At 45.6% G+C, this 14,498-nt stretch overlaps 3 annotated features.

The window, feature by feature from the left end:
- Positions 4,345–5,011: an enhancer, noted in NCBI's record as "H3K27ac hESC enhancer chr20:52379320-52379986 (GRCh37/hg19 assembly coordinates)". NCBI's record gives its function as "activates a minimal SCP1, AML or CMV promoter by ChIP-STARR-seq in naive H9 embryonic stem cells {active_cell/tissue: H9 hESC(naive)}" and the evidence as "EXISTENCE:reporter gene assay evidence [ECO:0000049][PMID:30033119]".
- Positions 9,213–9,382: an enhancer, noted in NCBI's record as "active region_18136". NCBI's record gives its function as "activates an Ori minimal core promoter by ATAC-STARR-seq in GM12878 lymphoblastoid cells {active_cell/tissue: GM12878}" and the evidence as "EXISTENCE:reporter gene assay evidence [ECO:0000049][PMID:35858748]".
- Positions 9,705–10,301: an enhancer, noted in NCBI's record as "OCT4-NANOG hESC enhancer chr20:52384680-52385276 (GRCh37/hg19 assembly coordinates)". NCBI's record gives its function as "activates a minimal SCP1, AML or CMV promoter by ChIP-STARR-seq in naive H9 embryonic stem cells {active_cell/tissue: H9 hESC(naive)}" and the evidence as "EXISTENCE:reporter gene assay evidence [ECO:0000049][PMID:30033119]".

Genomic DNA, 14,498 nt, shown 5'->3' on the forward strand with positions numbered 1-14,498 from the left:
ACAGGTGCCTGCCACCATTCCTGGCTAATTTTTGTATTTTTAGTAGAGATGGGGTTTCACCATCTTGGCCAGGCTGGTCTTGAACTCCTGACCTCAAGTGATCTGCCTGCCTCGGCCTCCAGAAGTACTGGGATTACAGGCATGAGCCACCATGCCTGGCCAGGTTAAGTATATTTTAAAAGTCCCACAGCTGGTGAAGTGCCCGGTGAATATGAAGGTCAGCCATTCGGATTTGAGAGTCCCCCTGGTAACCACACAGCACTTCTGTGCATGCTCTTTACCGATCTCCCATAAAAGGTGGACGAGACAATGCAGAGAACTGACAGATTCCACAAAGGAACAAAAGGTGGGTAGTGATGTGGATCGGGACTGCTGGACTGGTAGGGACCACTTTATTGGGGCTGCCTGAGCAGAGACCCTAAGGATGAGAAGCGACCAGCAATCTGGGAAATGGCCCTTTCCACAGAGAGAACAGCAAATGCAGGAACCCCAGGCAGGGAAGAGCCTGGCACATTTCAGGGACAGAGAGAAGACTGCGTGACCAGGGCAAGCTGTGCCATGGAGACCGAGGGTCAGAAACGTAGGAGGGATATCCAATATGACTTCAATTCAAATTCCATTCAAAAAAGAAAATTCCTCACCATCTGCTCAGGGTTTTGCAGGGGGCTTGAAGTGGCTGGCATTTGTCATAGAGCTCAAGAATATGTAGAAATCGTTTGTTTTGTTTTGTTTTGTTTTTTGAGATGGAGTCTCATTCTGTCGCCCAGGCTGGAGCGCAATGGTGCAATCTCGGCTCACTGCAAGCTCCGCCTCCCGGGGTCACGCCATTCTCCTGCCTCAGCCTCCCGAGTAGCTGGGACTGCAGTCGCCCGCCACCACGCCCGGCTAATTTTTTTGTGTTTTTAGTAGAGACGAGGTTTCACCATGTTGGCCAGGATGGCCTTGATCTCTTGACTTTGTAATTCACCCGTCTCGGCCTCCCAAAGTGCTGGGATTACAGGCGTGAGCCACTGCAACTGGCCGGTTTTTTTTTTTTTTTTTTTTTTGAGACGGAGTCTCGCTGTCGCACAGGCTGGAGGGCAGTGGCGCGATCTCGGCTCACGGCAGGTTCCGCCCCCCGGGGTTCACGCCTTTCTCCTGCCTCAGCCTCCCGAGTAGCTGGGACTACAGGCGCTCGCCACCTCGCCCGGCTAATTTTTTGTATTTTTAATAGAAACGGGGTTTCACCGTGTTAGCCAGGATGGTCTCGATCTCCTACCTCGTGATCCACCCGCCTCGGCCTCCCAAAATGCTGGGATTACAGGCATGAGCCACCGCTCCCGGCCAACTGGCCATTTTTTGTTGTTGTTGTATTTCAGCAGAGTCACAGTTTTTTTTTTTTTTTTTTTTTTTAGTAGAGACAGGGTCTCACCATGTTGCCCAGGGTGGTCTCGAACTCCTGAACTCAGGCAATCTGCCCTCCTCAGCCTCCCAAAGTGCTAGGATTACAGGAGTGAGCCACCGTGCCCGGCCAAGAATATGTAGAAATCTTGAACATCATTCCGTGTCATTTGAAAGCCTTTAAGCATTTCAGAATCTTTGCTTCCTTAGTAAGTGTCCAAACATAATTGAGTATCTCTGTAATGATTGGTGGTCTGACCAGAGCAACAGCTCTGGGTCCAATGACGCAGGTTGAGTTCCGTGAACTTGCAGCAGTTTGAGCTGCACTTATGTGAACCTCAAGACTTCCCCAAAGTGGAGTTTCTTTGGTTGTGGTTTAAAAATAAATTTTAAATATTAGGTTATTTTCTTGTGATTTACATTATTTCTAAAAATGGGGCACAAGGCCAAAAATAAGAAAGAGAAGAAGGTAGGCTTTGTATAACCTGTTTCCAGTGAATCGAGATTTCACTGTCATTTGTATTTGCCTCCACAGAGGAGACTCTTGGAGGAACCATGGATTTGGCAGGTAAATAAAAGGGTCGAGTTGAGGGAAAATATTCATAGCCCAGTCAAATATTTTGCAACAAAAATGAATGCAATGGCACCACTTGGAATTGATACATTCGCTTCATAGTCTGAGCAGAACAATCGTAGCACATTGGCAAACCTGATAGTTAAGGCATATTGGACTCCAATTGCTCACTGTTAGGGGCAAGGGAAGCCCATTTGATTGCTTTTTTTTTTTTTTTTTTTTTAGGTGGAGTCTCACTCTGTTGCCCAGGCTGGAGTGCAGTGGCGTGATCTTGGCTCACTGCAACCTCTGCCGCCTGGGTTCAAGCAATTCTCCTGCCTCAGCCTCCCGAGTAGCTGGGATTACAGGCTCCTGCCACTGTGCCCAGCTAATTTTTGTATTTTTAGTAGAGACGGGGTTTCACCATCTTGGCCAGGCTGGTTTTGAACTCCTGACCTTGTGATCCACCTGCCTCGTCCTCCCAAAGTGCTAGGATTACAGGCGTGAGCCACTGTGCCGGGCCTTGATTGCTTTTTAAAGGCAAACACTCAGAGCTTTTCACAGAATATTAATGAAGAGGAGAAATGAAGAGTTCAGGCACCCTGGGTTAGAATCCCCAAATTCCTAATTCCTTGAAGTGTGATATTAATGTCCCTGAGCCTCAACTTCCTCATCTGTAAAATGTGCATAAAAACAGTACCTACTGGCTGGGCATGGTGGCTCACGGCTGTAATCCCAGTACTTTGGGAGGTCGAGGCGGGTGGATCATCTGAGGTCAGGAGTTCAAGACTAGCCTGGCCAAGATGGTGAAACCCCGTCTCTACTAAAAATACAAAAATTAGCTGGGCATAGTAGCAGGCGCCTGTAATCCTACTCAGGAGGCTGAGGCAGAGAATCACTTGAACCTGGGAGTCAGAAGTTTGCAGTGAGCTGAGATCATGCCACTGCACTCCAGCCTGGATGACAGAGTGAGACTGTCTCAAAAAAAAAAAAAAAAAAAAAAAAAAGTACCTACTTTGCAGGGCTGTCTTGAGGATAATGATTACATTGATGTAAAGAAGTTAGTTCAGGGCCTGGTGTGAGTAAAGCCTCAGTTAACACTTCTATTTGCTTCTGTTCCCATCATATCCTTCCCAGCCCTTAGTCTGTGACCCCAGTGCTACTATACTATGGCACATCATTGGGTGGCCTCAGAAGGCAGTAGGATGAATATCACTAGGCCCATAGTGTGGCAGAGAAGGAAGACATCACACTGTGCCCTTACAGAGAAGTTGCTTCTTTTTTGTTTTTGAGATGCAGTCTTGCTCTGTTGCCCAGGCTAGAGTGTAGTAGCGCGATCTTGGCTCACTGCAACCTCCGCCTCCCGGGTTCAAGCAATTCTCCTGCCTCAGCCTCTGGAGTAGCTGGGATCCACCACGCCCAGCTAATTTTTGTATTTTTAGTAGAGACAGGGTTTCACCATATTGGCCAGGCTGGTCTCGAACTCCTGACTTTGTGATCTGCCTACCTCGGCCTCCCAAAGTGCTGGGATTACAGGCGTGAGCCACCGCACCCGGCCGAGAACCTTCTCCTTACAAGGAGCTTTTGCTCTATGGCAGGGTTTCTATTATATTCAAATTCTGGGAGAGGCCATCCTTTGTTGAGGGGCCATCCTGTGCACTGTAGGATGTTAAACAGCTTCTCTGGCCTCTGCTCATTACATACTAGTAACACGTACCCCATGTTCCAGGAGGCGACAGAAAAACATGCCTTTGACCTTTGCCCAGTGTTTCTCTCAAGGCAAACTCACCCCTGGGTGAGAATCTCTGGTTTATAGACATGTGCCTGAATGGGAAAATGGGTCAAATGTTAGTGCCCACCTTTGTCCTTTTTTTTTTTTTTTCCCTGACAGGGTCTCACTCTGTTGTCCAGGGTGGAGTGCAGTGGTGCAATCATAACTCCCTGCAGTCTCGAACTCCTGGCCTCAAGTGATCCCCCCTCCTCAGCCTCCTGAGTAGCCGGGACTACATGCACCACCAAGCGTGTCTAATTTTATTTTATTTTTTTGAGACGGAGTCTTGCTCTGTTGCCAGGCTAGAGTGCAGTGGCGTGATCTCGGCTCACCGCAACCTCCGCCTCCTGGGTTCAAGCAATTCCCCTGCCTCAGCCTTCCGAGTAGCAAGGACTACAGGCATGTAGTCCAGGCACGCTAATTTTTTGTATTTTAGTAGAGAGGGGGTTTCATCATGTTGGCCAGGATGGTCTTGATCTCCTGACCTTGTGATCTGCCCGCTTTGGCCTCCCAAAGTGCTGGGATTACAGGTGTGAGACACCGCACCCTGCCCCATGCGTGGCTAATTTTAAAGAATTTTTTGAAGAGACGGGATCTTGCTCTGGCTGGCCTCTAATTCCTGATCTCAAGTGAGTCTCCCGTCTTGGCCTCCCAAAGTGCTGAGATTACAGGGGTGAGCCACCATGCCCTGCCTCAAACTCTTCAAAAATATATGCTTGGTCAACCTTTGAGATTCTTTTAGAGTGTTCAGGATTGGAGAAGAGATATGCATCTTTACTGATGGGAAAACTTTATTTGTTTATTTATTTATTTATTTATTTTTGAGACAGAGTCTCACTCTGTCTGCCCTGGCTGGAGTGCAGTGGCGCGATCTCGGCTCATTGCAACCTCCTCCTCCAGGGTTCAAGTGATTCTCTTGCCTCAGCCTACCGAGTAGTTGGGACTACAGGAGTGTGTCACCACGCCCAGCTAATTTTAGTAGAGACAGGGTTTCACCATGATGGCCAGGCTGGTCTTGAACTCCTGACCTCAAATGATCCTCCCGCCTTGGCCTCCCAAAGTGCTGGGATTACAGGCATGAGCCACTGTGCCTGGCTATTTTTTTTTGAATATTGAACTTGATTCTCATAAAGTATTGCTACCTTCATGATGCTGTAGGAGCTGGCTCTTTCTTGAGGGTAAGCCACAATCTCATCCACCACAGGTTAGCTACATTGGCTGCTTTCTGATTCTCAAACACAAGCCCTTGTCTACCTCAAGACCTTGGCACTTACTGTCCCTGTGTCTGGAATGTCACCTCTGCAGACTACCTGTTACTGCCTGACCTCCTTGAATTTCTGTACCTACATGATTTTTTCAGGAAGGACCTCCTCTACCCCCTCTCCACCCCTAGTTATTCTCTTTTTCACGATCTGGTTTTATTCTTCATAGCACTCACCCAAACCCAATTTATTGTTATTTTTTAGATTGTATATTGCCTACCTGCCCCTAAAAACATAACCTTCTTGTCAAACATGTTCATCTGTGTATCCGCAGTGCCCTAGCCCAATATCTTGCCTACAATCGGTGCCAAATAAGTAGTCTCTGAATTTGCTGTTGACTTGGTGAATTTATAAACAGGTAATCAACATTTGGTTGCAGTCATCTTTGATTTGTAGGCAACTGAATTTTATTTCCAATTGCCAAAAGTTGTCTTTATTTGGGATGACAGCACCAAAACCTTTGCTGTCTTGTGCACCATGAATATGAAGCCGAGATGTCAGGTGATACCAGATAAAGAATACGTCATGGCAGCTCTTTAAACATGTAAACATATTAAACATTCAGGGCATCAGCCCCTGGCTCGTGGAGAATTCCATCCTTTAGCACATGACAAGTTGGGGTTTACAGTCAAAGTCCACTTAGCAAATGTTTGTTCTACAACGTGCTTTCCTTTTGTTTCCTGTAAGTATGGCTTCATGCCCTGCCAGGATCTGAGGTCATAGAAACACGAGGAGACGATTAACATATCAATGGAGGGGTCTCTTTGGAATCCAGAATTTGGAATGATATTTGCATCTTGAGCTCAGAAGCCGTGCAGGCGAGCCTGCTTATTGATTGCCTTTAATTTCCCCTTAAAACAGTGTCTTTTTCTGAAGAAAAGATTAATAGAGGAGGGCTCAGTTTGTCGCGTGATTTATGCTCAAGTCCTGCCTCCTTTGCATTCAGAAGCGCATTGCAAGCTCGTCCCCACCCCTGAGATGTTTGGATTCAGTTTCTCAAGAAAAATAGCTGCTGGTCACCAAAGCTTACAGCTTAATTGAATTTGTCTTTGTCCACTTAATCTTCATGCTTACAAAAAGTGGGGGTGGGAGGATTTATACAGAAGAGATGTACCTAAAATATACACGCGATCATTAGGAGGGTGGGCTGAAGAAAGAGATATAAAATGAAAATGAGGGTGCCACTTAGTCTATGCTGCACTTCTCTTTGCTTAAGGCATTGATAAATACACTAGTATCTCCCCAGTATAAACATGAGAACCTAAGAAGTAAATTGTATTGTACCAACTCTGAGCTGTTCCATCATTTTTGTTTTGGCTAAAAATTTGTTTTTTTTCTTTGAGGGAAGAAAAAGACACAAAAGGAAAGTGAAGATTTCTGTGTTACATAAAGTTTGGGACCTCTTTCTATAAATAAATAGCTGGCTATATTCTGTGTCACTAATAATCATAACACTAATAGTAGCAATCAATTTATCAAGCACTTTTTTTTTTAGCCATTGCACTAAATGCTTTATAATTTTTTTTTTTTTTTTTTTGAGACGGAGTCTTGCTCTGTCGTCCAGGCTGGAGTGCAGTAGCGGGATCTCGGCTCACTGCGAGCTCTGCCTCTCGGGTTCATGCTGTTCTCCTGCCTCAGCCTCCCGAGTAGCTGGGACTACAGGCGCCCTCCACCACGCCCAGCTAATTTTTTATACGGGGTTTCACTGTGTTAGCCAGGATGGTCTCAATCTCTTGACCTCGTGATCCGCCCGCCTCGGCCTCCCAAAGTGCTGGGATTACAGGCGTGAGCCACCGCGCCCGGACTTTTTTTTTTTGAGACAGAGTTTTCGCTCTTGTCACCCAGGCTAGAGTGCAATGGCACGATCTCGGTTCACTGCAACCTCCACCTCCTGGGTTCAAGCAATTCTCCTGCCTCAGCCTCCCAAGTAGCTGGGATTACAGGCACCCACCACCATGCCTGGCTAATTTTTGTATTTTTAGTAGAGATGAGGTTTCACCACGTTGGCCAAGCTGGTCTCAAACTCCTGACCTCAGGTGATCTGCCTGCCTCGGCTTCCCAAAGTGCTGGGATTACAGGCTTGAGCCACTGCACCCGGCCAGGGCTTTATAATCTTTATCTTATTTAAACTTGACTCCAACTTTTTTTTTTTTTTTTTGAGACCGAGTCTCGCTCAGTCGCCCAGGCTGGAATGCAGTGGTGGGATGTCAGCTCACTACAACCTCCGCCTCCTGGGTTCAAGCAATTCCTTGCCTCGGCCTCCCGAGTAGCTGAGATTACAGGCGCCCACCACCACACCCAGTTAATTTTTGTATTTTTTTTTTTTTTTTTTTTTTAGTAGAGACAGGGTCTCACCATGTTGGCCAGGCTGGTCTCAAACTCCTGACTTCAGATGATCCTCCCACCTCAGCCTCCCAAAGTGCTGGAATTACAGGCATGAACCAGCATGCCTGGCTTTTTTTTTTTTTTTTCTTGAGAGACAGGGTCTCATTCTGTTGCCCAGGCTGGAGTGCAGTGGTGCAATCTTGGCTAACTGCACCCTCCACTTCCCAGCTCAAGTGATTCTCCTGCATCAGCCTCCCGAGCAGCTGGGATTACAGGTTCTCACCACCATACCCAGCTAATTTTTGTATTTTTAGCAGAGACAGGTTTCACCATGTTGGCCAGGCTGGTCTCGAACTCTGATCTCAAGTGATCTGCCCGTCTTGGCCTCCCAAAGTGCTGGGATTACAGGTGTGAGCCACCATGCCCGGTTGACTCCAGAATTCTGAAAGAGGCCCTATTATGTTATTCCCATACACACAAGGCTTAGAGAAGTAAAGGAAGCTGCCGAAGTTTGTCCCGTGGCAGACCCAGATTTTGAAGCTGGGCGTATTAGACTTGAAAATCGAAGACTGCAGTCCTACCAAGAGAAGGACGTTCATTTGGATTTGCTTCTGTCTACATTTATTTCTCCAGCATGGTGGATGGAGGAGGCATGAACTTCCCAGTTACTCAGCCTTGAGCTTCTTGTCTTAAGTCTGCCTCCAAGACTTAACCAGCGGGCCGTATCATCTACCATGGCCAAGTAAGATTACTGCAGACTGTGCTCTTCAAATCTGTAGCCTTTTGTTATTCTACACGGTCACTTTTAGTCTGACTTAAGATGCTTGAGTGACACAAGGAGCAGAGAGGGAAGCTAGGTCGGTAAGAATCTAAGTGTGACCCCGATGCACCATAAGATCCCCCCTCGTGCCAACCAACAAGATTAACATCCAAGGTACTAATAAATGGAACGGCACCCCCCAAGGTGTAACTCCTTGAGAAGTTAACAATTATATTTTTATCCTAAGTAAACCCAATGATGCTGGGCGAGGTGGCTCATGCCTGTAATCCCAGCACTTTGGGAGGCTGAGGCGGGCAGATCACGAGGTCAGGAGTTCGAGACCAGCCTGGCCAACATAGTGAAACCTCGTCTCTACTAAAAATACAACAAATTAGCCGGGCGTGGTGGTGGGCACCTGTAATCCCAGCTACTCAGGAGGCTGAGGCAGGAGAGTTGCTTGAACCCGGGAGGTGGAGGTTGCAGTCAGCCGAGATTGCGCCATTGCACTCCAGCCCAGGCGAGAGTGTGAGACTCCATCTCAAAAAAATAAATGAATAAATAAATAAATAAAATAAAATAAACCCAATGGTGCTGAAGGTTGGAAGCTGAGTGTGTGGGAAGTAACCATTTGAGTGTTTCCGAGTTTCTTTCTTTGATGGCGGACATAGCGATGGACTGAATGTTTGTTTTCCCTCCAAATTCATCTGTTGAAATCTTAATCCCTAATGTGTTGGTATTTGAAGGTGGGGATCTTTGGGAGGTGGTGAGGTCATGAGAGTGGAGCCCTCATGCGTGGGATTAGTGCCCTTATAAAGGCAATCCCAGGGAACTTTCCCTTTCTGCCACGTTGGCAGTCTGCAGCCTGGAAGCCGGCTGTCACCAGAGCCTGATGGTAGTACCCAGAGGTCAGTGGGAGTCAGAGATCAGGATACCAGATGCTGACATTCTGTTCTCTGACTTCCAGCTTCTAGAACTGGGAGAAATCAATGTCTGTTGCTCTAAGCTACCCAGTCTATGGTATTTTGTTACGGTAGCCCAAAGGGACTAAGACAGACATGTAGAATGATTTTGGCCTAGTGATCAAAATTGTGCTAGGATTAAGTTTCTGGAAGAAAGAAATTTTGAAAGAAAAAAGTGAAAGTGCTTGCTTTCTAGTTTGGAACCATGATTTCGGATTCCCTGGTCCTATGGCTCTTTGCACTTCCCCTACACCTTTCCAATGATTGCTTCATTTACTCAAACCAAAACCAAAACCAAAACCAAAACAAGCCCCAAGTCCCCCAAACCTGTTAAAAGATACCAGTGGAGCATTGGCTATGTGCAAACTCTGTGACAGACACCGGGAATGAGACACCAAGGCAGATAAAAGTCTTACAATCTAATCAAATGGAAGCACACACCAAAGAAATACTTTCACAACTAATCATTTAATTACCATGCTTTCCCCACAAAACATTTTATTACTATAATTGATATTTTTCTTACCATTTTTGGCAACATTAATCAAATAATAAATTTCATCTGGAAGAACAAGCCAGCAAAATAGACAAGGAAATTCACAAAGGTAATAACAAAATAGTAATCTTGACATATTCAATATATTTGTAAGCAAAGCAAAGTGACATTGCCTTAAAATATAGAGAGGTATCAACAGAAAAACAGAGAAAACTCCTGAAAGAGTTCAACTCATTATATAAATTTTAATTTGGTTGCAGTTAATCACCATTTTCAATTTGCTGTGAAGAGAAATATACATGGGATGCAATGAGACTATGTCTGAGTTGCATCCAAACTTCTAACCTACCCCGTCTACTTGTGATTTCTTTTCCATTTGCCTCACTGTAGTGTATTGGCTAAACATGTAGACAGGTAGATCTGACTACAGGGTTTCATATCTGGTTTTGGCCCTTCGTGGATGTGTAACCTTAGCTAAGTTACTGAACCTACCTGAGCCCTAGGTCCCTCAGCTGTCGAGTGAAAATAATAGAAGTACCTACTCCTAGGCTTATCATGAAAATCAGATGAGATGATCTGAGTGAAAGCACTTAGCCTTGGAATGGAGCACACAGCAGGTGCTCAATTAAGGCTAGTTGTTATTATTAGTCTCTGAAAGTGATCTCTACATTGTTCTCTCCCCCATGCCGGGAGGCACTGAATTAACTTACTCAAGATGCGACAAGGAACATAGTTTGGAGACTGACTTAGCACTGACCTGCCCCTGTCAGAGCCTGGACATTGTTCAATAGCTGTGCATTTTGGGGCAAGCCACACACCCCCCTGGGAGACCCCATTGCCCTCATCTACAAAAGGAAGATGATAAATCCCTTTGACAATTAGAGTTAATAAGTAGAAAACACTTAGCTCAGGAAATGTCCGCTGCTGTTATTATTTTTTTTTAAATTTGTATTTTTTTGTAATTTTATCGGAGCCTCTTTTCATTATACAGCTGCTGTTATTATTACATTAATATTATTTTTAGGCTCTGTAAAAAACATAATAATGCCTTACTATGTCTTTTAATCCCACAGGTTTAGTGGTGTTTATGCCTCAATTTGAAAGTGGAATTTCAAAGTCCACTGAAAGTCTTTCTCTGAAGAGTGAATTGTCTTTATCCCTTAGCGTCTCTCCTGAAAGCTCTTATTTGGTGAGTAAATTTACAAGACGGGTGCTAGATAAGGGATTCATGTGGAGTTTGTCCTTAAAACACTTCTTTAATCTCTGCAGTTGCTGTGGAATTTGTGTCATTTTTGCTTGGGTGATCAGATTACATTTCATAAACAATATCCCCTATGTTTAAAAATCTTTAAACAGCCACTTGGAAGTAGCTTGACGTGGACTACAGTTAATGCCTTGTTTAATGTGGCTCCTCCGTGGTAGACAGGGCTGACAATCAACTGCATATGCCCGCATCAGACTCCTAAGTAGATTTCTATATTTTACAGAATTTTTTTCTTATTTGAACTAGTTTTTTGGTTTTCTAATATCTCATATAGGATAATTTTGGTACAACGATGGTTCTTGTAAGCTTCCAAAAATTGGAATCATTTTTATTGCTCTTTTGCCCTTGTTAAATCTTGGTTTTCTTCATCCAGAACTTTCTTTTGAGACAGGGTCTCACTCTGCTGCCCACGCTAGAGTGCAGTGCTGCAGTCTCGGCTCACTGCAGCCTCAACCTCCCAGTCTCAAGCCATCCTCCCACCTCAACCTCCTGAGTAGTTGGGACTACAGATGTGTGCCACCAAACCAGGATTCTAGAGAGATACACACACACACACACACACACACACACACACACACACATATATACATATATATACACACACACATATATATACACACATATATATATACACACACACATATATACACACACACATATATATATATATACACACACACACACACATATTCTTTTGAGACAGAGTCTTTCTCTGTTGCTCAGGCTGAAGTGCAGTGGTGCAATCTCGGCTTGCTGCAACTTCCATCCCCCAGGTTCAAGCAATTCTCCTGCCTCAGCCTCCCAAGTAGCCGGGATTACAGGCGTGCACCACCATGCCCGGCTAATTTTTCTGTTTTTAATAGAGACAAGGTTTCACCATGTTGGCCAGTCTGGTCTCAAACTCCTGACCTCAAGTGATCCACCCGCCTGGGCCTCTCAAAGTGATGGGATTACAGGTGTGAGCCATCGTGTCCGGCTGTATTTTTTAAAATAGAGATGAGGTTTCACCATGTTGGTCAGGCTGGTCTCAAACTCTTCGGCTCAAGTGGTCTGCCCGCCTTGGCCTCCCAAAGTGCTGGGTTTACAGGTTTGAGCCACTGTGCCCAGCCAGAACTTTCAAACATCAAAATTGCCAGCTCACTCTGACCCTTCCCCACCTTAATCACCCTGGGAATGACTGGGGAGAACTGGATATTTTATTTTCTTAACATGGTAAAACCCCATCTCTACTAAAAATACAAAAATTAGCTGGGCATGGTAGCGCACGTGCATCTGCCTCTGTTCACTGCAACTTGGTCTGGCCTCAGGGTTTTTTGCCCTTGCTTTTCCCTGGGCCTCTACAGTTCTGCCCCCAGAGCTTTGCCTGGCTCTTTTTTTTTTTTTTTTTTTTTTTTTTTTGAGACAGAATCTTGCTCTGTTGCCAGGCTGGAGTGCAGTGGCGGGATCTCAGCTCACTGCAACCTCTGTCTCCTGGGTTCAAGTGATTCTCATGCCTCAACCTCCCGAGTAGCTGGGACTACAGGTTCGCACCACCACACCCATCTAATTTTTGTATTTTTAGTAGAGATGGGGTTTCACCATGTTGGCCAGGATGGTGTTAATCTCCTGACCTCGTGATCTACCTGCCTCGACCTCCCAAAGTGTTGGGATTACAGGTATGAGCCACCGCGCCTGGCCTGCCTGGCTCTTTTCTAACTGTTCCTGTTCAGCAAAAATGTCACTTCCTCCAGGAGCCTTCCCTGATGTCCCCTGCCCTGCTTCAGTGGCTTCGCAGCACTGAGCAGTATCTGGAATTGTCTTTTCTATTTAATTCTAGCATTGTTTTTCCCCTCCCCTTCTAGAACAGGGTAGAATAGGAGCTGTCACTCTCAACACTATTGACAGTTGGGACCAGGTAACTTTTTGTTCCAGGGGCCGTTCTGTGCCTGACAGGGTCTGTATGTAGTGTGTCCCCGGCCTTCACTCACTGGATGCCACCAGCAGCTTCTCCTTGCCCCCCGCCAGCTGGACAATAAAAAATGTCTCCAGATATTACCAAATGTCTTCTGGGGCAAGGGGGCAAAATTGCACTGATCTAGAATTTAAGGTCTTTTTTTTTTAAGAGACGGAGTCTCGCTCTGTTGCCCAGGCTGGAGTGCAGTGGCACAATCTCGGCTCACTGCAACCTCTGCCTCCTGGGTTGAAGTGATTCTTCTGCCTCAGCCTCCTGAGTAACTGGGATTACAGGCACGCACCACCACGTCTGGGTAATTTTTGGAATTTTTAATAGAGACAGGATTTCACCATGTTGGCCAGGCTGGTCTCGAACTCCTGACCTCAGGTGATCCACCCGCCTCAGCCTCCCAAAGTGCTGGAATTACAGGTGTGAGCTACTGTGCTCGGCAATATCTGTCTAATTTTAGCTCCTGTTTTCTTAACCACTCTGCCATAGCACTTCTGTTAAAGCTATTCGGCAACAAATAAATCTTTTTTAGCATTAAAAATACAAAAAATCATGCTAAAAGATGCCCAGGGCTTCTGTTATTATGACCTATGCTTCCTTCTTGTGTCTTTAAAAACATTCAATTGTTACTGTTTATATTTTCTCTATTTTAAAATTTTAAACCATCCCCGCACAGCTTGCCTGGAAACTGTTGACACTGAAACATATAGGTTAAATTCATACAAGCTGGCCTATTATAGTCTTCCTGCAAAGTGCACAGTGAATTGCAAATGTTTGCATTTCCCATTAACAAGAAAATTAGTGTCTCTAGAAACAGTAGTCTTCTCTGGACCAGCATTAAATGCCTGTTTTGTTCTTTTCAAGTTGCTCGAGTTCATAATGGGGCTTTGGTCCTCATATCTTTTTTTTTTTTTTTTTTTGATACGGAGTCCTGCTCTGTTGCCCAGGCTGGAGTGTGCAATGGCGTGATCTCAGCACACTGCAGCCTCCGCCTCCAGGCTTCAAGTGATTCTCCTGCCTTAGCCTCCCGAGTAGCTGGGACTGCAGGCGACTGCCACCACGCCCGGCTAATTTTTTTGTATTTTTAGTAGAGACGGGGTTTTGCCATGTTGGCCAGGCTGGTCTCTAACTCCTGACCTCAGGTGATCTGCCCGCCTCAGCCTCCCAAAGTCCTGGGATGACAGGCGTGAGCCTCAGCGCTCAGCCTGGTCCTGGTATCTTTCACTTACTCTTCACAATTGTGTGTGACTTCTTTTCTGGTTGCAGGATTGGTTACAACCTCCTCCATTAAGCCTGAATTAATCTTTACTCTCTGATTCCTGGACCATATCCTTGAATGCTTGCATCCTAACATCCAGTAAGACACCTCCGTACTGCCTTTTTCATCCTGGCAAATCACAAACTGATACTTCCAGCACTTTGGGAACAAACTTCTGCTACAGGACACAAATGCATGGCTGCTAGGAAGCTCTTGGTGCCTGAAAACATATGCCAGGACTCAGAGCACAGGTGTGTGTGTGCGTGTGCATGTGTTGGATTGTTATAAATTTATTAATTTATTTTGGGGAGTTTTTGGAAAAGGTAGCAAAACAGCCTCACAGGGAATCACTACTGTTCAGGGAAGTATTAAATAGAAAATGATTGGGCTGGGCGCGGTGGCTCACGCCTGTTATCCCAGCACTCTGGGAGGCCACGGCGGGTGCGAGATCAGGAGTTTGAGACCAGCCTGGCTAACATGGTAAAACCCCTTCTCTACCCAAACTACAAAAATTAGCCAGGCATGGTG

The sequence above is a fragment of the Homo sapiens genome, chromosome 20 (genome assembly GCF_000001405.40).
Source record: "Homo sapiens chromosome 20, GRCh38.p14 Primary Assembly".
Taxonomy (NCBI): domain Eukaryota; kingdom Metazoa; phylum Chordata; class Mammalia; order Primates; family Hominidae; genus Homo; species Homo sapiens.